Source organism: Homo sapiens, chromosome 10 (genome assembly GCF_000001405.40).
Source record: "Homo sapiens chromosome 10, GRCh38.p14 Primary Assembly".
NCBI lineage: Eukaryota > Metazoa > Chordata > Mammalia > Primates > Hominidae > Homo > Homo sapiens.
This window is the reverse complement of record NC_000010.11, coordinates 77,392,685-77,418,838: the sequence shown is the minus strand read 5'-3', so window position 1 is coordinate 77,418,838 and position 26,154 is coordinate 77,392,685. Positions and strand designations below refer to the sequence as shown.

At 48.3% G+C, this 26,154-nt stretch overlaps 1 protein-coding gene across 54 annotated transcripts in view, besides 1 other annotated feature; it reads left to right on the top strand.

Annotated features, from left to right (window-relative positions):
* Positions 1 to 26,154, top strand: part of KCNMA1 (potassium calcium-activated channel subfamily M alpha 1) — a 768,207-nt gene that overhangs the window by 218,970 nt on the left and 523,083 nt on the right. For 53 of the 54 annotated variants that reach the window (XR_007061964.1, XM_017016222.3, XM_024447990.2 and 50 more), the window contains one exon: positions 14,816 to 14,977. The exons of the other annotated variant lie outside the window; for it this stretch is intronic. Coding sequence is in view for 52 of the 53 variants with exons in the window: in XM_017016222.3 (XP_016871711.2) it covers positions 14,816 to 14,977 (162 nt within the window). In the remaining variant the exon portion in view is untranslated. The remainder of the gene's footprint in view (positions 1 to 14,815; positions 14,978 to 26,154) is intronic. 54 annotated transcript variants of the gene reach the window in all.
* Positions 8,067 to 8,566: an enhancer, noted in NCBI's record as "H3K4me1 hESC enhancer chr10:79170031-79170530 (GRCh37/hg19 assembly coordinates)". NCBI's record gives its function as "activates a minimal SCP1, AML or CMV promoter by ChIP-STARR-seq in naive and primed H9 embryonic stem cells {active_cell/tissue: H9 hESC(naive and primed)}" and the evidence as "EXISTENCE:reporter gene assay evidence [ECO:0000049][PMID:30033119]".

Sequence of the window (26,154 nt, the reverse complement as noted above, 5' to 3'; positions counted from 1 at the left end):
TTTTGAGATTTCAATTATTGAGCCACTTCCATCGGGAGCTCTTCAATTATTTATACTGGGTGTGTTGCAAGTAGATTCACCAATTTAGAAAGTTGGGGGAAAGAGGGGACATGGTAGGAGGGAGGCCCCCGTGGATGCAAGTGTGTGGGCAAGTCCTTTTGGCTTCCTCTTGGCTCTTTTTCTGGATCCAACTTCATCGTAGGGCTGGACCAGCCACTTTGTCAAGGGTATCCTCCTCACTGAGGTCTGGAGATGGGGACAGGGTGTGGATGCCCCTGGGTGTAGGGAACCGACACTTCCAGACACTCGGTGAGCTCTGTCTGGGTGGAAAACCTCATCAGAAGCCAGATTGAATCACACCAGTTTCTAAGACATTCCTCAACCATGTTAGGCAAAAGAGTCCCCCACTGACAAGCTGGGGTAGAAGGAAACCTGATATAATTTTGGAAAAAAACCTTACTTGAGAAAGAAGGTTCTCACAGCTGCCGAGTCTCTCTCGACGTCCAGGGTTGGAGGGGTCCCAGGCCATGGAGAGAAGATTGATGGGTCTAGCGGAGCCAAGTAGAGAGTTGAGGCTTTGCAGGGCCAGGCGCTTGCCATCCTTAACTCCCATTAGGGATCGAGAAGGAAAAGGAGAAGGAGTTCTCTGAATCCAATGGAAAAAGAAGTCCTGTCTCCTTTCCCTGGGCTGTTGAATTGTTTTTATTTCACATTAGCAACTGCTCTGGACTCTCTTGTGTTTGGCTGCTGTGTTGGAGACCTAGATCCAAACTAGGGTGTGTGGGAACCCAGGGACATAGAGGCTGAAGTTTTGGAACCCAGCCAGTTCTTCCAAGGGGTGAGGTCAGAGGCAGAGTCCAGGGAGCAGGGCAGCTCTGGGAGCCTGGTTCCTCAGGCTGGGCTGTGCTCGGAGCGGTAGATCCTGACTGCCGCTGTATGCCTGGTAACCTGGCCATCTTTCTGCCTCCCAAAGTCTGTCTGTCTTGCTAGCCCTTGGTTTCCTGAATGGGGATCATCTTAAGTGTGGGGAAAGGCTGTCTGACGACCTAATTGGGACAGCTCTTTTGACCCGAAGCCAAGCCCCATCCAAGTTCAGCAAATGGAAGAAGCGGGAACATGTTCAGTTGGTGAGGTCTATAGGCACAGACTGGATTAGGTCCTAAATCATGGTGGAAATTTTCCTGGCACGGGACAAATCCTTTTGTAAACAAGAACATTCATCTTTCTTTTGACTGACATGCCTGGTAGGGCATGTGCCTCTCAGAAGCTCCATGTCATCTGATCTCATTTGGGATTTAGTGTTTTTATTTGAAAATGTAGCTGCCCTGAGGAACAGCAGTTAGGAGCCAACCCCCAGTTTAAGCTTCAAGTCATGGAAACTGGCCTGGTTTACCCAGACGTCAGTGATGCCTGGGAAAGCTCTTGCTTTTCCAGTGCCCACTGAGCAGAGATTTAATTTACTCAATCGGTACGTGTCTGTTAAGCACATTGCTGTATGCCAAACACTTTGGGCATAAAAGGTATATAGGCCTTGCCTTCAAGGATTGTCCAGGCTAACTGGGGCAATGCAACATGCATGGACCAAAAGACAGCTAAGTACCTGTCCCATGTGGAATTGGGGGAGCAGATGTGGGCCCTGGAGACAGGACAGGGAGAGCTTTGGGGAGATCTAGCCAGGAAGGAGAACTTCACTGCACCTCTGGGATTTGATCAGGGAGGATGAAGATGGTTGGGGAGCAATGGGGAGAGCATCCCAGGAGTGGGAACAGCCAGCACGGAGGTGTGGCAGTCAGGAGGACCAAGTCATAGCCGAGAAGTCAGGTGGAAGAGCAGGTCAGTGACGAGTGGGGAGGGCAGCCGGCAGCCTCAGCTCCAGGCCTTGAAGATCAGGCCTTGAGGAGTTTGACTTCTATGCTTAGGGCATTGTGGACTTGGCAGGATTTTTGAGATTCCAGAAGATATGAGCGAAGAGTGAAAACAAAGCAGGACAGAACAAAAAACAGAATTTCTTCATTTATTATTTCAGTGCACTGTGAAATGCTCACCGTGTGCTAGGTGCTGTTCAGGCTTTGAGGATGTGGAGTGGGCAAATCAGGCAGACTCTGCCCTGACTGCTAGAGAATAAGCACACGTGTGTGATGAAGGTGGTAGTGGTGGGAAGCAAAGAACAGCAGCGAAGGGGATGACCGTGTTCCCTTCCGTGTGGGGCACTGGGCTGTGACTTACATTGCTCTCGGGTTACTCATCTTTTTACTCCAAATTGCTTGGAGTCCTCTGTTGACTCTGAAGGGAATATTCAACCATAAACAATTCATCCTATCTGCTATCTGTGGTTGAATTCTTTCTTCCCAGTTGCCCCTTGGGTGGTGGCTTGGGGCCACGGTAACACTTGTAGTATTTCCCGGGAGGTTGTTATAGTTCTGTGCATTTCCTGCAGTAGTGGTAGTGAAGGCATTAGATGCCAGGAACTCAGGCGGTTGGTATGGCCCTGAGCTCTGAAAATGCTTGCCTTCCCCTTTCCCCTATTGTGTGGGCCAGCAGCTTGCAGAGCTCCTCCAGCCCTGAGAGACCATGCCTCCATCCCTCAGACCCTACCTTTCCTGGCCCCAAGGCTGCCTCTGGCTAGTGTGACAGACACACCCTGGGCCCCTGAAGTCTGAAAGCCACATTTTTCGAGGGGAACCTGGCCACTATGAGTGTGGAATATTGGGGCCTTAAATTTCCTGCCTGTAGAATGAGGCATTTGGGCTAGGGGAGTGGTTCCTAGACTTTTTGTGGGATAATCAATGAATTTTTATAAAACAGAATATCACAAGGCCACCAGCTTTTTATTTTGACAAGCAAAAACATAAAAAAAGAAACTGTCAAATGCCAGCTCTGCCACCATTGTCATTTCATTAAAAGGACATGTTAATACCCAACAAAGGAGTAACGATATAATGTCAAAGAAAAGGACAGTTCTTCCTGGGAGAGGCCCTTCATCAGTTGTCTTCCACTGACACACACAGTGCGCTGTACTGAGGCTTTTCATTCCGTACCACATCAGGGGCAGCACTGCCCTGTGGCCATGCAGGACCCATGGGAACAGAGCACCTGTGAGCTACCTGCAGGAGCCTTTGCTGAGGAGAGTGAGGCTCCTTGGGGGCTGGATCCTCCTCCTGGTCTACAGGATGGCAATGGGCTCCCTCCGGTAAAAGTTAACTTGGCACGAAGATTTCTGCATTCTTTTATGAACATGAGGGTTTGGGATTTCCTGTGTGTTTGGTTATCCATATCCCAGTCTGCCCTGATGAGAAACAAATGTAATTTTTGCCTTCCTGCTGGGCCCCTGCCACAGTTTTCTTGTCTGGGCAGGTCTTGAGCTGAGCTTCTGGGGCAGGATGGGCTGCCCTGCAGACTGGCAGCTGAGTCTCCGAGTCTCTGATGGACAGCAGGCTGTCTTGGACCCTGCCAGGGTCATCCTGGCTGAGGACTCTACTAATCCAATTCAAAGTCTCTATGGCTCTGATAGTGGACTCTGGACTGTCACTTATATTTTCCAATTTTATTAAGCTAATTGAAAGAGAAGGAGATTGTTATTTTACAAATACGGCACATTGGCCAGGATGTATGTATTAGCCCTGAAAGTTTGGAGGTTGCCTTACTAATTTTAGGCAGCATATGTGGCCATTTGAGAACATATCTAATGTCTAATGAGCATTGTATTCCCAGGTTGGATCCCCGTCCCCTAGCCCATTTCTCCAACTCTCTGTCCGTACATAGTGGATTATAACTGAATTTAGATGTCTGTACTACAGGATTTTGTTACTTAGAAGCCATAGGTTGTGAGATGGTTGTTTCAGTAGTAGTAGTAAACAGAATTTTATATGGAGATTCCATCTCTGTTCTTGCACATTGGACCTATCCCAAGACAGTGTGGAATAGAGAGAAAAAATATGGCCTTCAGAGTTAGAATGGACTAGATTGAAATTTCAGCTCTGCCACTTACAAGATGGGTAATCTTGGAAAATTACCCAATCTCTCTGAGCCTCATGACATTCCTACCTTGCAGCCAGGCGTGGTGGCTCACGCCTGTAATCCCAGCACTTTGGGAGGCTGAGGCGGGCAGATCACTTGAGGTCAGGAGTTCCAGACCAGCCTATCCAACATGTTGAAACCCCATCTTACTAGGAAAAAAAAAATTACTGGAGCATGGTGGTGGGTGCCTGTAATCCCAGCTACCTGGGAGGCTGAGGAGGAGAATCGTTTGAACCTGGGAGGCGGAGGCTGCAGTGAGCTGAGATTGCATCACTGCACTCCATCCTGGGCGACAGAGTGAGACTCTGTCTCAAAAGAAAAAGAAAAAAGAAAAAAAGAAAAAACATTCCTATCTTGCAGGCTTCTTGTGAAGATTAAGTTGGTGTAAAATCACCAAGGACAGAACACAGTAGATGTAAGAGGGGATCAGTGATCTCCTGAGCACCAGTTGACCCCCTTGGTCCTCAGGGAATGGGAGAGCAGCTTTGAACCTGGCTCTGAGAAGAGCTGAAAAGGAATCTGTCCTGCAGCATTTCCCGGGGGAGGGAAATGATGCTTGATTGACTTGCCCAGGGTTACAGAGCTGAGACAGTGCGTGCAAAGTAAGGGACTTAACAATCCAGGCCTCCGGGTCAGACAGTTTAGAGCTGGACAGACCTTGGGGAGTGTTTACATGGCTCCCTGCATTTGAGACAAAGAAACCTGAGGCACAAGATGGTAAGGACTTGTTAAAGGTCACCTGGCCTTTTTCTACCATGAAGACTTCCAAAGAGTAGTTGTTCACACCCAGCGCAGGGGTGCTTCTAAGAGTGAGAATCTGGACAGGGCACCCAGAAAGCAATGGCTAAAAATGCCTCAATGGTGGAGCACTGTAGGTCCAGCCGAGACACCCAGTAAACTCACAGGGCTTTCTGACAGCTCGGGGTAATCGGTTAGGTCCCAGCTTCTTTATAAGTTCCTGTTGCCTGAATCTGTGGACAGTGTGTCCCTTCCCTAAAGGTACAGCCCACAGTTAGCAAACACAGTAACTGCTAGGTGAATTAATCAGTGCAAATGTCTTAAGCCCTGCTGGTGCAGAGTCTCCGGGGTGCAGAGCAGGAGAAGTGATGGCAGCCAGGGAGAGGTTGGACTATGCAACTTCCCAGGGGCAGAAGTGAACTCTGCCACTCCTGACACCAGCTCTAGGAAAGACCTGGGTCCCCTGTTGCCCTATTTCTCTGGTCCTTGAGTCTCAGAGTAACCACCTCCTCCATCCATTCCCTTTGCAGAACTCTTGCCATGAAAACCCCAGCTGGTGGTGCCCATGCTATGCTTGATTTGCTTGAGCTGCTTTGGGTAATCTGCCTAATACCCTAATATGCAGGATTATTGGTACCTGGGAGAATGCCCGTGGCTGGGAAACCCGCCCAGGAGGTGAAAGAGGTTGCTGGGTGGATGTCCTCTTTGGCATGGGAGGGGGGACACGGAAGACCCAGCCCCAGCATTCGGGGCTGGTGAAAACCTGAGGCGAAGGAGAGGAGAGCAGCCCGCGGGGAGGGACCAGCAGCCCCAGGGCTTCCTAAGGTATTGAGGTTCAGACACTTCTGGATCTTAGGCCAAACTGTGCCACAGGATGTCATAGTTATTGTCATGAAACAAAGCATTTTTTAAAAAGCTAACATGGGGCCGGGCGAGGTGGCTCACTCCTGTAAATCCTAGCACTTTGGGAGGCTGAGGCAGGTGGATCACTTGAGGTCAGAAGTTTGAGACCAGCCTGGCCAACATGGTGAAACCCTGTCTGTACTAAAAATACAAAAATTAGCCGGGTATGATGACACACGCCTGTAATCCCAGCTACTAGGGAGGCTGAGGCACAAGAATCACTTGAACCTGGGAGGCAGAAATTGCAGTGAGCTGAGATCACGCCACTGTACTCCAGCCTGGGCAACAGAGTGAGACTCTTTCTCAAAAAACAAAACAAAACAAAACAAAACAAAAAAAAGCTAACATGGGCCTATGGACTTTTACTCAGGGGATTTCTAATGTTTTTCCCCAGAAAATCCCTTCACTCAGATGCAGTCTAGCACAGAACCATAATAGGTGAAATTGCTCAATGCAGAGGCGCTTTTATTTCCGCGGGGTCCGGGGCCCTGCCTCCTCTGCCCTCCCTTGGTAACCAGCCCCCCTGGGGCACCTCACAATGCTGGGCCTCAAGGTACAGAAAACTGTGGATTTAACTCACCACCCCCTCTCGTCTCCCAGATAGGGACTCTTCTCAGAGAGGTTAGGTGACTGGCCCAGGGCACACAGCCTGTGCCTGGCTTCATAGCTTCTGGTCCAGAAGGCTTCCCCCTGCCCCCACCCTTTGGTAGGAGAGAAGGAGCCCTTCTGCATTGTGCCCAGTTGAGGACAGCAGCATGTGGGGCTGCTGGGTCAGTTTCAACAGACGAGAGGAGATGGGGCAATGGAGTGGCCAGGGAGAGGGTGGGGTGGGGCTCCTGGCAGATGGAATGAGTAACTCAGAGCGCAGTCCATCAATGAAGGCTCAGGGGAAATGGCCTTCTGATGTTGACCAGGAAAATTTGAGGACAAAGGGGCTGTGAGGCATGAGGCCCTTCCTTCTCTCACAGCCCTCTGGGGGTCAAGCATCCTGGGACTATCCCATGGTTCCAGGGTGCTGGGCAGAACATCCAGCTTCCAGGGATGAGAGGGGCTTCCCAGCCCCTACTCTGGTCCCAAAAGGGCTAGCGGAGATGGTTTTGTGCTAACCTGATCTCTCCTGTTCCCTGTCAGAACCCTACCTCCCACTCAGGTGCGTCAGGCCCGGCAGAGCTCAGCCTCTTAGTGCTGGAGACCGCTGGGCAGAGCGTGCTAAGGACTCCAAGGATACGCATGGCGAGGGAGGAAGCCAAATCTTCCTTTAGCAGCATCTGCATAGAGAACCGTGGTTCTTAGCAGGAGGGCTTCACAGCCCGTCAGCTTGGCCACGCTCATTTCCAATGTGATACTCTGCTCCACGAAGGGTGAATTTATGGTTCCGGGCAGGTTCTTGGCAGAGAAAGGAACTGTGTTTCTCTGTCCTTGATGGAACTGCCCTCCATAGGCACAGGGCCCTGGAAGAAGGGTCGTGATGGTACAAGCAGTACCCAGAAGTGGCATGAATTGAGTGCTCTTCATGTTAATAAACCTTTCGTGGGCACTTTGCAGCAGCCAATAATCCTTGCACATGCATTCTCCCGTCTGCTGCTCACACTGTTCCCGGGAGGACAGCAGGATGGGTACGTGTCCCTTTTTGGCATCAGACAGCTGGATTTAAATTCACACTGTGTCTTCCTGGGCCAGCTACTTAACCTCTCATCTGTCAATGGAGGACATTAGTACCAACGTCATAGAGTTACTATGATCATGCTAAAAAACAGTAGTCGATAGTATAATTATTGTTAGTAGTACTATTTACTAGTAATATCTATTCTAGATTGTGCATGGTAAGAACTGACTTTCCATTTGCTGTAGCTCTCCTCCCTCCTCTCCTCCTTCCCCCACTCCTTCCTTCCCTCCCACCCACCAAGATTTGTCAGGTGCTTACTCTGAGCTCACAGGGATTCAATATTGAAGATACAGCCATAAATGAAACAGACATGGTGAAACCCCCATCTCTACTAAAAATGCAAAAACTAAACAGGTGTGGTGGCACATGCCTATACTCCTAGCACTCAGGAGGCTGAGACAGGAGAATCGCTTGAACCCAGGAGGCAGAGGTTGCAGTGAGCCGAGATCACGCCACTGCACTCCAGCCTGGGTGACAGAGAAAGACTCTGTCTAAAACAAAACAAACAAAACAAAAAGAAACAGACAAAAACTCTTTCCCTCATGCAGCTTGCAGACAGCACACAATGATGAAGTAAAGGAAGCAGGTGGCAGACACACTCCGGAGAAGACAGCACAGACAGGGAGAGGTCGGGATGAGGTGGAGAGCTCATGGACAAAGTGAGGATGTGAACCAAAGCTCGAGAGAAATGAGGGTGCAGCCACGGGGATCTCTGGAGCAGAGGCAGAGGCCAGTGCAGACAGCCCCGAGACGGGACTGGGTCTGGAATGTCCTGGCAGCATGAGGAGGCCATTGCATCTGAAGTGGAGCTAGTGAGCGGCAGACTCGCAGGATGACAGGCACGAGTGGGGCTGATTGGGTGTGAAGACTTCACTTGTCCTCTGAATGGGCCAAGAAGCCATAGGAGGGTGTTGGGTACAACAGTGACATGATTTCAGTTACATTTTTGAAAAGTATTTTTCTTCCCAGATGGCCTTTGCCTAAACAACTTCCCAGATCCTGGATGAGGAACCAGTGTCCAAAGAACTGACACGTAGTTAAACCCGAGGCAGACTTGGAGCTTCAAGGCTTGGCTCTAGGCAGGCAGCAGGGAGGGGCCCTGGGATCCCCTCAAGGCGGGCCCAGCCAGCTTCTCATGCCTGAGGCAGTCATCCAGCAGGTGTGGTGCCTGCAGTGACCTTGGTGCCTGGTTCAGCTTGACAGGTGTCAGGAGTGTGCCTGGGGGTGAGAGAGTCCAACCGGGTGAGAGCAGGTGTGGCAGCAGCTCACCCTGTCAGGGAGGGTGTGCCCAGCATGACAGGTCACCTGCTGAGACTTGGCAATTTGACATCCTGTTAGGGTGCAGGGTGACAACGGGGGACCTGCCCTGCAAGTTGCAGCTGGGTAGGAATCTGAGTGTTGAGCCCTGCGTTCTGTGAGGGCTCTGGCTTTGTGGCACAGGACTTCTTTCTCCAGAGCAGCCCTGCTTCCTGCCCAGAACCAGAGGACAGTGACTCCACTTGCCTGCCGTTTGTAAAGCAGTTGCTTTCAGAAAGGCAATGCTCTGTTACCAGATTAGGGCTCCTGCAAGAATCAGGCAGGGTGACAAGGCAGGACTCATCCCTGTTCATAGAAGAGAATATGGAGGGTTTGAGGAATGACATGACTTGCTGGAGGCCACCCAGAAAAGTTGGACTTGGTCCAGAGTATCTTTTGATTTTCATAGTTCTTCCTGCCACACCACAGACCTGAGAGTCCCAGTATACTGGGTCTAATTCAGCAAGGATGAGAGACGGAGACAGCCAAATCTGAGGGATGGGGCTGTGGGGTCCTAGGATTAGCACAAGCTTGCTCTCCTGTGCTAGACCAGAGCAGCTGTCGTGGCTGGGGAAGGCTGGGCCCTTTGAAGACAAGCAGGATTAGCCCTTGTCGTGACCCTCACACCTGAACCCAGTACCAGGCTAGGTGGAGCCTTCTGCCAGTCCTAGGAACACCCTGAACTCCAGGTTCCAGGCTGGGGCAGCAGAGTGACTGTCACTTGGGCTAGATTTGGAGCAATTGTCTTATCGGGGAGGCAACAAGAGATAAGGGAAACAGAGCAACTGGGGCTTGCTTCCTGGCCCGGTGGTCACCTGGCTGGGCTGGGTGGCCCTGAGCTTGTGGCTTTCCCTCTGGGCCTCAGTTTTCTCATCTGTACACTGTGTGTGTGGTAGTTGGGTGGTGGTGGGGATCCTCAGGAATTGCTAAGGTCCCTTCTCAAGCTTTGGTCTTTGATCTTGTGATTCAGCGGGAAATGCCCAAACGCATCAGATGAGGTTTGTATCTTGAGCACCAGGTGATGGGGTGCAGTCAGGCCCTTGGCCCCAGGTGACATAGGAAGGGTGAGCCCCTCTGCGGCCATGTCAACAAAAAGTCATCGTGGGGAACACCACTAAAGGGAATGGGGAGAAGGCATAGAAAGGGGTGAGGGTGTAAGGCTGGGCACAGCCCCGTGAGAGGTTGCCTGGTAGGGTGGGTGTCGGGAGGGGACTGTGGCCACTCTTCTCTCTGGTGTTCCCTGCCTCCTGTGCCTGCACCCTTGCCCTGAATTCCTCCCCACCTTCTGATGTGGGCACTGAAATTAGATGTCACTGTTGCCACTGAGAGGCAGCTGTGGCCTGCTTTACACAAGGCTCTAGTGGGGAGAGAGGGCAGGGTTGGAGGCAGATCCAGAGTGGCCTCCAGTGCAAGGCCGAATCCCTTTCTCAGGGAGCTGCCAAGGGCAGGGGGAGGGCTCCTGCAGGACCTCCTCTTTCTGAGATGGCCTCCCCACGCGATGGCCTCACCTCTCATTTTTCTCCCTATTCTTCCCTCCATGTTCCTTTCTTTTCCCAAGACATCTTTTCTTGCATTTCAGAAGATCTGGTGGCCTGTCCTCCTGAAGCTGGGGTAGCTGGAGGCTGCAGCCAGTGGGGTTTCTCTCCCTTACACACACAGACACACACACGCATGTGTGAGCACACACACAGATGCACACACACATGCACACATTCTCAGACATGCACACACACGTACACACTCACACGTGCACACAAACGCACACACACATGCACACACTCTCACACGTGCACACACATGCACACACTCTCACACATGCACACACACATGTGTGAGCACACGCACTCAGTGATTTCCTGACTGACATCGGGCTGCCCCTACTGGGAAGTGCTTCCTGTGTAAGGACAGGGTCCTCTGCAGTGGGAGGTGGAAGGTTTGGGCGTGGCTGCATATCCCCTTTGCTATTTGGAACAAACCATTTGTTCCCCTGTGAGGCAGTATCCTGTGGGGCCAGGAGCAAGAACGGAATGCTGGGACTCAGGAGGCAGCCTCTCCCTGGTCCTCAGCGTTCTCATCTTAAAAATGGGAGGTTGATCTAATGGGGCGAGTCAGAAGGGGTCTGAGATGTCACTGGGTCTGGGGTCCACCCTGTGCGGGAATCCCTGCCCCAGCTGTCCTGGGTGGTGGTCACACAGCGCCTACTAGAAGCCCTGCAGGAGTCACAGCACCTTGCCTTATAGGGACTTCTTGCTCATTGGAGGATAACAGTGTTAGAACCTGCACCTCCTTATCCTCCATTCTGTGATTATTTATTAAAGGTTCACTCTGGCCAGTGTGCCTCCCAGGGCCACTGGTTGATGAAAGTGGTGCAGCTTCAGTGGATTACTCTTAGAGGCCCCAGCCCCATCAGCGGGTGCTTCATCAGGGCAGCTGTAACCACTGTGTGCCCGGGACTGTGCCAAGCTTCAGCTTCCCCACCACCTTAATGAGGCGGCATGTTTGTCCCCATCTTACATGGAAGAGGCTGAGACTCAAGGGTTGATGGGCCACAGCCATCAGCTTGGAAGTTCTGGAGCAGGTACAAGCCCAGGTGGGCTCTCTGCTTCCAGCCTGAGCTCTCAGGCTCTGTGCCTTTTTCTGAGAGATACCTGCTCTTAGTTACCCTGTCTGTAAAATGGAAATAATTTCACTTGCCTGTTGGATGTATTATAAGGTTTAAGCAAGACAATGCATAGAAAACACTTAATTCTTAGTTGCTGGCACCTAGTTCTGGCTTGTTCAATGGTGGCCAACACTCTTATAATGGACTCTGCCCCTGCATGTTCCCAGCAAGGCTACTGAACCTTCTCTGCTTTTTCTTTGGAGCATGGAGTTATAATGCCTGCTCCCCATAAGAGGTGCTTTGGCCAGAGTGAAGTCAGTGGTGGAGAGAGGGGCCTCTTCCTCCAGGCACAAGATCTGTGGCTAGCCTGGTGGCTAGTCTGGCCGGCTGGCATCAGGCTTTAAATAGCTCCCCCATCACTCCTCCCAGTCCTGCTTCCCACACATGGTAATTAAGCTCACAACATCTAGTGTAAGCAAATAATAACAAGGGCATTATCTCCCTTTAGTCTGTGTTTTTCCTTGCCTATCATAAAGTAATTAAAATAATGAATGCCTTGTAAAACAATAGGTAAGAGGGCTGGCGAAATAGCATTATCTGCCACATACCTCTTGTGCTATGAATTACTGATGCAGTTAACCACTGTGACTGGAGGGCCCCCCTGCCTCCCAGCCTTTTTCACGTTGATTTCTCCTCTCCAGGGTCTACCAAGGGGCTGTGGAACTTGGGCCCCCAGGACTGAGGAGCAGGGAGCTATCTTCCAGGTCCCCACGTGGTGGCCAGGGACCAGTTCAGAAACATCCTGGGAGGCTTGACTCAAAAGGAAACACTAGAGCCTCAGATGTGGGACGATCTCCCTGCCCTCCTCTTTTCCTCACCCCTCCACCAATGTCCAATATTGAAACAAGCAGGTGGTTCTGTCCTTGGGTGAAGGGAGAGGCCAGGAGAGAGCTGGGGGTGAAGATCCATGTCTCATTTCAGCAGTCACCGAGCCATACTAGGGTAGTCAGGAGCTGTGGTCCCCAAAGTAGGCTTCCAAGCCCAGCAGCATCAGAAGTGCCTGACATCTTGGTTCGAATGTAGGTTCTGGGATGGGCCCAGCACACTGTGTTTCAACAAGCCCTCTGGTGTGCTTATGATGCCCGCTCATTGTGATAACCATTGCTTTATGGTGTCAGGGGCACGAGAAGAAGCAAGGGGTGCTGGGATAATTGCTTGAACCTGTGTTTTGTGCTATTGGACACTGTTTAATCCTGACAATGCCTGAGGGGCTGGCAGTACTGTCCCCATCTTATTGAGGTCCCACAGCGGTGGCAGAGCTGGATTTTCCCCCGAATCTACACCTTCAGTTACCATGGTTGACCCTGTATCAGGGCCTCCCCATCCTCCTAAATACCCTCCTGTTCAGAGTCTCACAGGGCAGAGGCTCAGGGACCAGGGCAAGACCTAACAGGTCCTATCTGAGGCTGGCCTGGGAGGCTTGGGCAGCAGGTCCCACACATGTCAGCAGGCAGCCCCCAGATACATCTGCCCAGTGGCCTCCCCCTCCTGGGCCTCCTCTTGGATCATTGTAGCTCTGTGGGGCTTAACACATTTGGAAAGAAAATATTAGCGTCCAGGGCTGCAGGTCCCACTTTTCTCTTCCCCAGCTTCCCTGAGCCACAGGCAGCCAGAGGGAGAGAAGCAGGAATCGGGACCAGCTTCCTGCCTGCCGTGGCCAAGTCCCCAAGAGGATGACTCACCAGTGCACCCTCCCCACCTGCCTCCCACGTGCCTGGCCTCCCTCTGCCCCGCCCCCTTTGTCACTGCAGACAAAGCTTTTCACCACTGTCTTTGGTTCTTCCCCTTACTCCAAATCACAATGATCCCCAGTGTGGCTTTGCCTTGGGAATTAATTCCAGAGTTTTAAATGATGAACATAATTTGCTGGCATCTTTTTAAACATCTTCATCTGCAGTCATAGTTGCAGTGGGTATTTGTGTTGGGGTCCAGTTAAATGTACATTGTTAGATAAATAATAAGGTTTTAGTATAAGCATGTCCCATGTGGTATTTGGAATATACTTATACTAAAAAGTTATTTGTTGTTTATCTGAAATTTAAATTTTACTGGGTATCCTGTATTTTATCTGGCAACACTAAACCCAGCCTTTGTAGCTAACGAGGGGCTGATACTCATAGCCCTTTCTAGTCATTCATTCATGGTTATTGAGCCAACTCTGTCCCAGACACTCTATTAGGCACCAAGGCTGCAGCAGTGGGGAAGGCAGACAGTAAGTGAAAGAAGTAAATGAATTATTAAGTATATTAGCGGTTTTAAGTGCTATGGAGAAAAATAAAGCAGAAAAGTGCTATTGGAAAGAAAGTGTTGCAAATTTAAACAGGTGGCCAGGGAAGACTTCATTGAAAAGGAGATATTTGAGCAAAGACTTAAGGGAGCAGGCCATAAGTCTCTGTGGGAGAAGAGTATTCCAGGCAGAACACTCACTGTATGCAAAGGTTTACAGTTTCGGCCCCTGTGTGGGGCTCAGTTATCTGATGAAATCAGCCTTGTTTCCTCAAGCACATTTTAAGCCAGAAGGGGAATGTATTGTCTCCTGTAACTGGAAAGGTCTGGTGTAGATTTCAGGCACAGCTGGATCCGGGTGTTCAAATGATGACATCAGTAGTCTATTACTTTTACTTTTCTCTGCAGTGGCTTCATTCTCAGGGAAGGATGACTTTTCCTATTCTTTCCTGCAAATGTTCCACGCTTGAGTCTTATTGGCTTGGCATGGATCATGTGATTATTAATGGCCCAATTGCTGTTGGCAGGGGGTAGAAAGGACTCCAATGTTGGAGCCAATGTGAGGCCATCTGTCCCCTTTGAACTACATAGACTGAGAGGAAGAGATAATTTTCCTAAAGGAAAGTGGGGGTGCTGCTGTGAAAAGGGGCATAGAGGCTGGGTAGGCAAAGACCACAGGACATCTCCCACACTTTCCTCCTCCCTCCTCAGCATGCCCTAATCTTAGACAGATTGCGTTTCCTCTTGCTTTGGTATTTTCTTTTTCTTTAAAATGGGAGGAGACCAGAACTTTGGGAGGCTGAGGTGGGCGGATCACTTGAGGTCAGGAGTTTGAGACCAGCCTGGCCAACATGGTGAAACCCTCTCTACTAAAAATACAAAAATTAGCCGAGCATGGTGGCCGCGCGCCTGTAATTCTAGCTACTAGGGAGGCTGAGGCGTGAGAATTGCTTGCACCTGGTGGGTGGAGGTTGCAGAGAGCCGAGATTGCGCCACTGCACTCCAGCCTGGGTGACAGAGTGAGACTTCATCTCAAAAAATAAAATAAAATAAAATAGAATAGAATAATACCATCCTTCTTTGTTTCACTAAGATATTTTAAGAGGAAATAAAGAAAATATTCTTTTTTAAATAAAGGCTTTAAAAAAATCAAAGGCATAATTTACCCCTTCTGCTTTACTCCTATACCTTTAAGCTAGTTTCCATCTCAGCTGGGGACCCCTTCTGGCTCTGGTTCTTTATGGGTAGAGCATGTTATTTAAATCCATTGTTCCCTATGTCTTAACTCTTGCTCTCTCTGTTGCCAGGAGGCCCAGAAGATTAACAATGGCTCAAGCCAGGCGGATGGCACTCTCAAACCAGTGGATGAAAAAGAGGAGGCAGTGGCCGCCGAGGTCGGCTGGATGACCTCCGTGAAGGACTGGGCGGGGGTGATGATATCCGCCCAGACACTGACTGGCAGAGTCCTGGTGAGTCTCCACCCACTTCTCACACCAGGAGGCCTTGCTGTCTGGGCCAAGGTGGCTTTGCTTATGAGACGTGATATTCCCCAGGGTCTTCTGCAGGAGGCTGGCTATTGGGAGGTGGGGGTGAGCAGCAAGTGCTCCCGCGTGGTCATGGAGGAGAGGCTCGGTTCCTTGTGTACAGTGGTTTGTGGAGGGATTTTCAAGGAGTGGGATTTGCAGTGGAGAAGGGTTGTTGGGAAGATGTAGCACATTTCCTCTGCTAAAGCACACATGCGCGCACACACACACACCCTCCATCATCTTGGAGAGGAGAAGAGGGTTAAGGAAATATACCAGAAACTCATGGAAGGGCTACAAATGCGGGGATCCTGGGGAGTGCTGAGTGAGTGTGTGTTTGGTGGTCTTCGGGGGATGTTCTTCTTGTCCTGTGGTAGCCCATAGGGACCCCCTCTTGCAGCAGTTTCCTAATTTTCTGCAGTGTGTGAGCTGGGCCCTGTGCACGGTAGAAATCAGTCATGCTGATGGTGGATGCATCAGTAGCCCACCTGAGGCTGCCTGGCCCGTGTACCTAGAGCTCGCTTGTGTGCCCTTTTCTGATGAGATTGTCTCCTAAGCCCACCTGCAACCAGGGCTGATTCTGCCCCTTCTCTGTATGTTTCCAACATCTCTCTGATCTGCTTATATGAAGCTTGGCTTCACTGGCTGGCCTCATGAGCCCTTGGTTTTTGTCAAGGATCATTACTGGGACAGGCTTATAGTGATCAACCATCCCAGTTTGCCTGAGACTGAGGGGTACATGAGACATGAGTCTTTCAGTGCAAAAACTGGGAAAGTCCTGGGCAAACAGGGATGAATTGGTCGCCATAGCCAGGCCCATGCTCTAGGAAAGCCCTAGCTTGCTTTCTTGGGTCTGCTCTGGGTCAGGAGTTTCCCTGAGAAGGATATTGCATTCGGAGTGATTTCTCATTGTGATTCTGGAAGCTGTTTTGTTTGGGCCACCTGTCCTGGCATGAAGCTAGGGCTCAGTCAAGAGTCATTTGGCTCATAGATGGAAGGAGTAGGGACATCCTGAGGCCTGCGAGGCTCAAAGACCAGGCAGGGACACTGGAAAACAGTCATTATCTCTGAGTCTCACAGCAAAAACTCAGTGAAGAGGTGACTGTAGATGGAGGGAGGTGGTGAGAATTTCACTTCTCAGAATCCTTCTTGGGGAGAACTCAATGTTATGTCTGGGATCAATATCACACACACTTTTGTGGGAAGGAGTGAGAGAATGAACGTGGTGCTTGAGTAATCAAAGGTGCTGGCCACACAGCCTTCAAGAAAGACAGGTTCTGTTCACCGAGGGATCTGCCGTGAGCTGTGTGCTGAAGGGTCTGGTTATGAAACCATGGCTGATGTCAATTGATGGCAAAATGGAAAGAGGGGACATTTAAAGTTGGAGTTTTGGAGGAGGAGAGAGAAACTGGTGAGGTCAGTGGCTGCTTGGAGGAAGGCAGAGAGGGAGACAATTCAGTCTGGTGTGACCCAGGAGGGACAGTGTCTAGTGGGGACTTGGAGGTGACTTGCTGTTGGCTGAGCTGTGTAACAGCACCTCTATCTCTCCTCCTGCCTCTTGACTGAAGTCTCCATTGCTCTTTCATGCTTGAAGAGGAGTGGATTCTGCATTGGAAACTTAAGAGAGGTTGAATTCTGAGTCTGGGTATTCATGGGGACAAAATGGAGGTAGTGTATTCTATATGTATGGTGGTGATAGTGAATGGGGAGCAGCAGACAGTTTAGCTGCACAAATGTGACACTTGTTCCTTCCATGTGGCCATTATAGACAGTTCTAATTTTCTTCATCAGCATTGCAAGAGTTACTGAACACTAATTCTGGGCCAAGTGTATTTGTTTCAGCTCTGGAGAAAACAAGGAAGGATCCTGATTCTATTGCACCATATGCGGAAGTTATTGAAGGAATGCATGGAGGATAAGTGCTATGAGTACAAACACGGTGTGCACTTGTGGAGTGTGGGGAGGGGCTGTAGGGGAAAGTAGGGCTGATCAGAAAAGCTTTCATAGGGAGGAAAGTCTTTGAACTAAAACTCCCATTTCAAGATGAGCTGCTTTATGGCGGGAAGATATAAAAAATAAAAACATATCCAGGCTTAAACACAAGAAAATGACCACTAGGTGGGCTGGAATTTGTGAAGAATACTTAATAAGACAGAATGCATTTGCAGTGAGCTTTTAAGTGTGAGTTAGGATCTTGAGAGTTAAAGGAGAAGAAAGCCTTCAAAGTGAGGAGCAGGAAAAACAGAGAAGGAGCCTGGCGCTCTGGGAAATGGGGGGTGCAGACCCCAAAGTCTGGGGAAGTGTCCTGGAGACAGCCTGGTGGGGCTTTAAAGGCCATGCTAAAGAATTTTGGGGCCAGGCGTGGTGGCTTACACCTGTAATCCCAGCACTTTGGGAGGCTCAGGTGGGTGGATCACGAGGTCCGGAGATCGAGACCATCCTGGCTAACACAGTGAAACCCCATCTCTACTAAAAATACAAAAAATTAGCCAGTGTGGTGGCGGGTGCCTGTAGTCCCAGCTACTCGAGAGGCTGAGGCAGGATAATGGCACGGACCCAGGAGGCGGAACTTGCAGTGAGCGGCTCTGCTGAGATCGCCCCACTGCATTCCAGCCTGGGTGACAGAGCAAGACTCCGTCTCAAAAAAAAAAAAATGAATTTTTGAAGTTTGTAGAACAAGGAGATTTTGAGGCAGGGGGTGTTGTACAGAGAGAGCTGGGGGACAAGTGGAGACTGAATGGGTGAGGCTAGAGCTTGGAGGCTATAGGACAAGTTAGGGCAGTAAGCTACTGCTTTAGTGATGGCATGGGAGCAGATTCCTGATGTGGTCCTGGTGGGGCACGGTCTGCACTGACACCAAGCAGAAGATGCAGGTAGCCCATGTGGGTGATATCATGGAAATGGAACTCATTGGGCCCAGCACACCCAGCGGCCACCTTGAGACTCTCCTGGCAATCACACTGTTGAACGCCTCTTGTGATCCAGGCACTGTGCTAACCTTATATGTTATGATCAGTTTGAAGGGGAAGGACAATGTCGTATTTCTTCCGTATCTCCTTATTGCTGTTGTGTTGTAGGGGTTCATTACAAGAAAACAGGCCAATCTTATCAGTGAATTCATCTCTGTTTTACAGTTGAGAAAATCAAGATATAGCAAGGGCAATTATTTGTCTAAAAACATTCAGCTTTGAGTGACAGAGCCAGGCTAGTACCTGCCAGCTCCCTGTCTCCCAGTCTGGTGCTCCTTTTGTGTCATTACTTCCCAGTCGAAGATAATGCCTTTTCTTTTCTAAGCCACTGACAGCTGTCACTTTGGCTGTGACATTTTGACATTACCATCTTTTAGCCAATTTGGTCCTGAGGATGCTTGGCCTGCTTGTTAAACATTTGCATGTAGAAGCATGGTCCACTCAGGCCTCTTTGCCTGAGCCTGCCCAAGGTGCCAGCTGCTCTCTGAAGGTCTCCTTGGAGAAAATCCTGCCCAGGCTGTTGGGGCCATGCAGAGCAAGTGGGACCTGCTGCACAGAAAGCAGGCATCTCAGAGCTCCAGGCGGTATCCTGAGAATAGGCCTGCCCTTTAGGAGCAGGCAGGTCCCTGCACTGAACAAAGAAGAGATTTCACAATTAAGTAATGGCGGGCAAGAGAAAGCAGCACTGCCTGTTCAGAACCCAAAGCTGTGTTTGTCTTGAGCCGTCCAAATGTTTATCCCTGCAACAATGGGACCAAAGCAAGACCAGACAGCTGGCTATTCAGTTTCCCGTTTCAATTTTTAATTTGTTTTCCTTGATGCACGCTCAGGAGCTTGGCCTCCTCATCTGGGCCTCTATCTCACCTGTCTAATTGTCACAGGTGTGAATCTCGAAGCTGGGACATCATGAGTAAGGTCCAGCTGGGGAAGAATTTGCCAATACAACCTCAGAATATCTGTAGGATCTCCCAGACGAGCACATCCGTTATTCACTAAGTGTTTACTGCTCATCTGTACCTGGCACTGTTCAAGGCACTGGGCATAAAGCAGTGAGCAACAGAGATCCAGGTGTGAATTATTTATATTGATAAACTAGATATAAGGATGCAGAGCTCAATTTAAGAAATGACAAATGATAATTGCCATTCACCAGTGCTTTTTATAGTCAACGCCTGGAGCCTGATTATCCACATGATAAAAATTCCTTGACCCCCCGGCTCCAGATCTCAGAATAGCCTGTCTTTGCCTCCTCTCTCACCCTGGCACTCAGGCTCAACTGGCCAAAAACAGCAGGACTGGACAGAGCCTTCTCTTGGAGCACGTGGCTGAGGGATTCTACATTAAAGTGAACACCAGGCTGTCAAGAGTACTGCTTCCTTTTATTTTTTTCTTAACTAAACAAATGTTTATTTTCTGATTATAAAAGTAATATATGTTTGCTTTTTTTAAAAAAATTGAAATGTGCTGGAAGACGTGCTGATAAATTCCACTGTGGGATTTGGAGTCGGCTCATGCGGAGGGAAATTTGGATATAGCAGTCAATGTCGTCAGGATTTCTCTTAACTGTTTGGGTGTCATTGAGGACTTTGTTCACTGCATCTCATGTTACCTGCTTTATGCACAGACTCATGGGATAAGTAGTGTTTTGCACCAGAGATTGTTGTGGTTTTCCTGGTGAACATCCAGTGAGCATGCTAAATCGAGAAAGGGATCATGTCTCTCAGTGGTGGCTGCTCAGAGCCAAGTCGGTGGCTTATGGAAAATACAGAGTGGCTCAGGTTTGCGCTCTGTGTCTTTGCACCCCTGCTCTGGCTTGTCTTCATCATCTCTCCTCTCATTTTCCCTTTGCCCTACTTTTCTTACTCCTATTTGGAATTTACATGTATGCAGTTATGTGTTCCATACATTTTTGTCAGGTAAATTAAATCCCCCTAAGAATAAGGTGGTTTCTAAATAAAGAGGGCAAGAAACGTATGGTGTAGGTTTTAGTATAGTTTGGTTGTGCTGTATAGAATCATAAGCCAAAGTCAACAGTGGTAGTCAAATTCAGGGTTGGTAAGTTTTTCCATAAAAGGCCAGATAGTAAATATTCTAGGCTTGCAGACCATGTGGGCTCCACGACTCAACTCTGCCACAGTAGTTTGAAAGCAGCCACAAACAGCCTTGGTGTGACTTTGTTCCAGTAAACTTTCTTTATAGAATGGGAGAAAATATTTGCAAACAATGCATTCAACAATGGCCTGATGTCCAGAATTCATGAGGAACTTAAAAAACTCAACAACAAAAATCACCAAATAACATTTAAAAGTGGGCAAAAGATATGAATAGTCATTTTTCAAAAGAAGACATACGAATGGCCAACAAGCATATGAAAAAATACTCAACATCTCTAGTCTTCAGAGACATGCAAATTAAAACCACAATTAGATATCATCTCACAGCAGCCAGAATGGCTATTATTAAAAAGACAAAAAATAACAGATGTTGGTGAGGATGTGGAGAAAAGGATCACTTATATGGAGATGTAAATTAGTACAACCTCTATGAAAAACAGCACAGAAATTTCTCAAAGAAGTGAAAACAGAACTTCCATTTGATCCAGCATTTCTACTAATTGGTGGCTACCCATAGGAAAAGAAATCATTATATAAGAAAGATACCTGAACTCCTATGTTTATCACAACACTACTCACAATAGCAAAGCTATGGAATCAACCCAAGGGTCCATCAGTGGATGATTAAATAAAGAAAAAAAAAATACACACACACACACACACATACACACATATATACACACACATGCATATATATCACATTATATATGTATATATATTACATTTATATATATACAAACACACACAATAAGATACTATTCAGCCATAAAAAAGAATGAAATCATGTCTTTTGCAGCAACATGGATGGAACTAGACACCATTATCTTAAGTGGAACAACTCAGAAACGAAGTCAAATACCACATGTTCTCATGAATAAGTGGGAGCTAAATAGTGTGTACACATGGACAGAGAGTGGAATAGTAGTCAATGGAGACTCAGAATGGTGGAAGGGTGGGAGGTGGCGATGAGTGATGAGAAATTACTTAATGGTTGCAATGCACGCTATTTGGATGACGGTTACACTAAAAGCCCAGACTTCACCACTGTGCAAAATATCCATGTGACAAAACTGCACTCATACTCCTTACATTTATACAAATAAACTGTATTTATAGAAATAGGGGGTAGAGAAAACAGTTGACTGGAAGGAATAAGTTCCAGCATGTGATAGTACAATAGGGAGATTATAGTTAACAGTAATTTATTGTACATCTCAAAATAGCTAGAAAAGAATTAGAATGTTCCCAACACAAAGATAAATGTTTGAGGTGATGGTTTTCTGTTACCCTGATCTAATCATTATACATGTACCAAAATATCACATGCATCCCCCAAAATATGTACACTATTATATGTCAATACAACGTTTTAAAAAAAGAAACAGGTGGTGGGCCAGATTTGTTTCACACACCATAGTTTGCTGACTCAGTCTAATTTATCCCCTTGTTTTATATATAAAGAAATTGAAAGTCTGGGGCTGGAGGCGAAGAGATTCTCTAAGGTCGAGTAGCAAGAGTGTCACACTCTTTGTAAAGGAGCGTTACAGACTCAGTGATACACACACAAAGATAAATACAGGCACACACACATACTCTCACTATCCACATTGTCACTTAGTTTCTGCATGTTCATATTCATTTCCATGTTGATCTCACAGCAACTGTCTCCCTAGGGAAACTATGTCCTGTGGTGAAGGACAGCCTCACCTCAACTTGGGAGCGACATCTACACTGCCTAGACTTTACCTCAACCCCCTGACAGATTCAATGTTTTGTGTGTCTCTTCAAAGACTGGTCTTGCCAAAATAGCTACCAGCTCCTGAGCAAAGCTAGAGAGAGCCCTTAGAATCACTCTTTGTAGTTACTTTCCCCATATTCCTATGCTGTTACATCTGTGTATTGCTCCAGGAAGCTTACACAGCTAATTCTATGAACTGAAAGCATATGCTACTTGCTTGAATGTATAGGGATGATTTATCGATGTAAGAAGAAAGAAAAATATCAGCCTCTCTCTTTATCCCCCTAAATATGTTGCATGTGTGGCATTTTACATTAACGTTATATACATAGCCTGGACCATTTCATCTTTATCTCCAAGGGCCCAAAAGAAAATATGTGTCAAATATGCCTTTCAAATAGGAATAATCCTATTGGTTTAACAGAGTTAAATAGATGTACATTCACTGATGTGCTGTTTGCGCATGAAATTAGACTGGTTGAACCCAGTGGGAGTACACATGGGCACACACATAATCAAATATATCACATTCATTGCATTCACTTCTGTTAGGTGCCCTATGGAGGTTGTGACATTTCCCATCAGTATCCTCTACTTTTCTTTCTCAGTGGTGCCTGGTGGCAAATTCACACACACTTCTCTCTCTCTCTGTCTCTGTCTCTGTCTCTCACCCCCCTCATCTATGCCCCAGCTTTTATTATATTTTAGGCAAATCTATGTAAAATTCTTACATCATTGGCCAATGCCTTGTGTAGCAGAAAGACTAGAGGTTTCACAGGACTGTACTTTTAGTAAGAATGTCCCATAGTGAATAGGTATGTCCTGCTCTCTGCTATTGGGAATCAGTTGGAGTTTTATTGGCATTGTTTTAACACTCCTAAGGGAGGCTTCTGTTTAAAGGAACCATATGATAATTTCCTTCCAGGACTTAATAGTGGTTCTGTATTTCATCCCATGCATAGATACTGAAATCACATTATGGGTATCAGTCAAAAAGTCAAAGAAGATACATTCTTTTTTTACTATTAAACATGAAATTTTGTCTTTATCTAATGAAAGATACACTAGATTTGCACTAGATTTGTTATTTTTGACTCAACATCATTTACCCAGATGAGAAAACATGAGTCAGAGAAATAATTGAATTGAGCAGTCTCCCCCGACAGGTAGTGAGCTGCCTGTTACTAGAAATATTCAAAGAGCAGCAGGATCGCATTTCATAGTGCTGTTGCTGACAGTTGGTTAGACTTTATCCTCATGGCTTTAATTAGGTTCCATAGAACACTAGACCCACGAATTGTTCCCGGATAAAAATGGTTCCCTGGGAACTTGGATAGACTTCATTTCTCATCCCCCTCCTCGAGATTGCCAATGCATATCAGCATATAAATACTTACAGAAGTCCTGCAGTCAGAAAGCGGAAAGGCTCTGTTTTGCCCAGCATTTTCCATTTTCATTTCCCTGTGGAATCCTTTCCCCATGTAATACCTGTGGGCATCACATAGCACTCACTTTGGGAAACATTTAATTAGCCCAGGGATCAGTTAGTTATAGCCTGTGGGACAGTCTGGCTCATTGCCTCTTTTGTGTGGTTCATAAGCTAAGGATGGTTTTTACATTTTTTTATTTTTTTTTCAGAGACAAGGTTTCACTCTATTGCTCAGGCTGGAGTGCATTGGTGCAATCATAGCTCCCTGCAACCTCAAACTCCTGGGTTCAAGCGATCCTTCTGCCTCAGCCTCCCTGATAGCTGGGATTACAGGTGCAGGCCACCATGACATGCTATGTTTTCTTAAATTTTTTGTACTGATGGGGTTCTACTGTGTTGCCCAGGTTGGTCTTGAACCCCTGGGCCCAGGCAATCCTCTCACCTTGACCTCCCAAAGTGCTGGGATTACAGATGTGAGCCACCATACCTGGCCTAAATGGTTATTTTTTAAAAATCAAAATAAGTGTATTTTGTGACATGTGAAAGCTATATGAAATTCAAATTTCAGCGTCCATAAACAAAGTTGCATTGGAATACAGCCATGCTCACTCATTTACGTATCGTCTGTGGCTGCTTCTGTAAGAAGCTACAAAGGCAGAGTTGAGTAGTATCCGGAGTCCAAAACACCCACCAGCCTAAAATAATTACCATCTGTCCCTGTAAAGAAACAATTGCCACTCCCTGTATGCCTGTCAATATTCCTCTTCAAGTGGCCTACAGGACTTGCTCCATAAGTTACCTATGGCATAGGTAATAGATAAGATATAACATCTGTCCCCTTCTCATGGGGACGTGTCTACATTCACTTCCCCAAGCTCAACTAAGTACTGCATTAGAGATGGAGAGGCCAGAGCCAGGTGGGTCCCCAAGTTCCATAGCAGATTCCCAGCTGGGGTGAACATATGGATTTCCACTTCGCAAGGTCAGGAGAATATGTCTGAGAATTTTGTAGCAGCATCATTCCTTGAGTTTCTCCATCCACCTGCCCACTGCTTCGGCAGCCCCCACACCCCAGGCCCTGCTGGCAGCTCAGAGTCTAAGCCTTACCCCCAAGAGGACCCCTGATCAGGGCCTGCAGGCCAGGCACCTCAGCTCGCAGCAGCTTCTGGTCTGCAGGCCTCGAGCCATGTGCTGGGCTCTCCGGCACGCCCTGTAAAGAGCAGCTGTTAATTTTACTAGCTGGTGTGTTGGCTCCTCTGCCCTCCCCAGGGCTGCTGTGAAAATGAAGGAGAGTTTCAGAAATCAACCCTCAGTTGGCTCCAGAGTGAGGAAGAGCCTCCTGGTCCAGGGACAGCCCACTTGATCCTGGCCACTCATCTCTGGCTCCCAGGCCCTCAGGGCTCTGATGGCAAGTGCTGGCATGGCTGTTTTCCCTCTCCTCTGAAGTTTCCAGGTGCATGTGGGTGCCTGCTTTGGCCTTCCATCCCATTGTCTGTCTGCCCATCCATCTATGTCCATTCATCCACCTGTGTGATCCACCGACATTGATTGGTGTTCCCTAGTATACAGAACTGAGCGTAGCACAGGTCAGTGGGGGCCTGGTAAGCAAGCAGAGCACTTGCAGCCTCTGTGCAGTCAGCAGCCAGTCCGGCCTGCTTCTGCCGGTCCTGTCTTGTCTCTGTCCGCTTTGCTTCAGTCTCTGTTGGGGCCTGGGAGTGAGAAACCCTGCCCCTTTGTCAGTGCATCATGATCTGAACTAGAGCTCCTACTCTTTTTTGATCTCCATCTTGCTCCTTGTGTCTCGTTCTCACTTGATTGGAACAAACAAGGAGGATGGGTGGAGCCCATAGCAGCCTCAAAACTCACTTCAGCTCTTGCATTGCCTCTCTCCCTGGGACACCCATCTTGGGAAGGAGCTGCTGTGTGTGGTGCGGCTGGGCAGTTGGAAGCCCAGCCTCTGCAGACTCCTGACTCCCAGCTCCATCTGTCTCAGGGGCTTGGCTTTTACCCTGGGCGAGTGGCTTCATTGTCTCATACCTCAGTTTCCTCATCTACAAAATGGGGACAATAATAGTCCCTGCCTCTTAATGAGTTAATGCATGTAAAATATTTAGAACAGTGCCTCTGACATGGTTAGTGCTTGATAAGCATGGTTATTATTATTTTTGTTATTGTGTGTGTGAGCCCGGTCACCATGTCATGGAGGAAATGGGCTGGTATGGAGACAGACGGGTCAGGGGGTGAAGAACAAATCCTTTTCTGGGGCAGGGGTAGAAGAACAGCCCTTGAGCCTCCCCAAACCCAGACATCTTCCAAGAGTGCTGAGCAGCTCTGGGCAGGGCCATCTGAAAGGCTCTGAATGCCCCAGGCAAGCCCTGGTTTGGATCCATCCAGATGATGATGTTTGCTCTGTGCACACACTTAATTCAGGCTTGTCCAGGCTGCGTCCTCTTTGCAGCTGGCTCATGCCAGCCTGACTCACCATTGTCAAATTGGCCAGGAAATTCTCACTTCATATAGCCTCCCTGAGCTGGCTGGGGACTGGAGAACGGGCTGGGCTCTCCCTGGAGCTGTACGTTGTGGGCGCATGTGTCACAGGAAATGCCTTGGCAGGACAACAGATGAGTCTTAAGGAAAAAGGGTCAAGTGCACTTACTGTGGTCTCCGTATCCACTTCTCCCTGGAGGTGGGGCGAGGCTGACAGGGCAGGGACAGGCTGGTTTCGGAGGGCACATCTGCACCAGTATTTGGGGAGGTGGGTTTGATGTACATTTTGACAGGTAGTGACCACACATTCATTGAAAGGAGATGGGAAAGCGTGTGAGGTCACCAGAAGATAAAGACCCAGATTCTACTGCACATGCGAGGCAGCT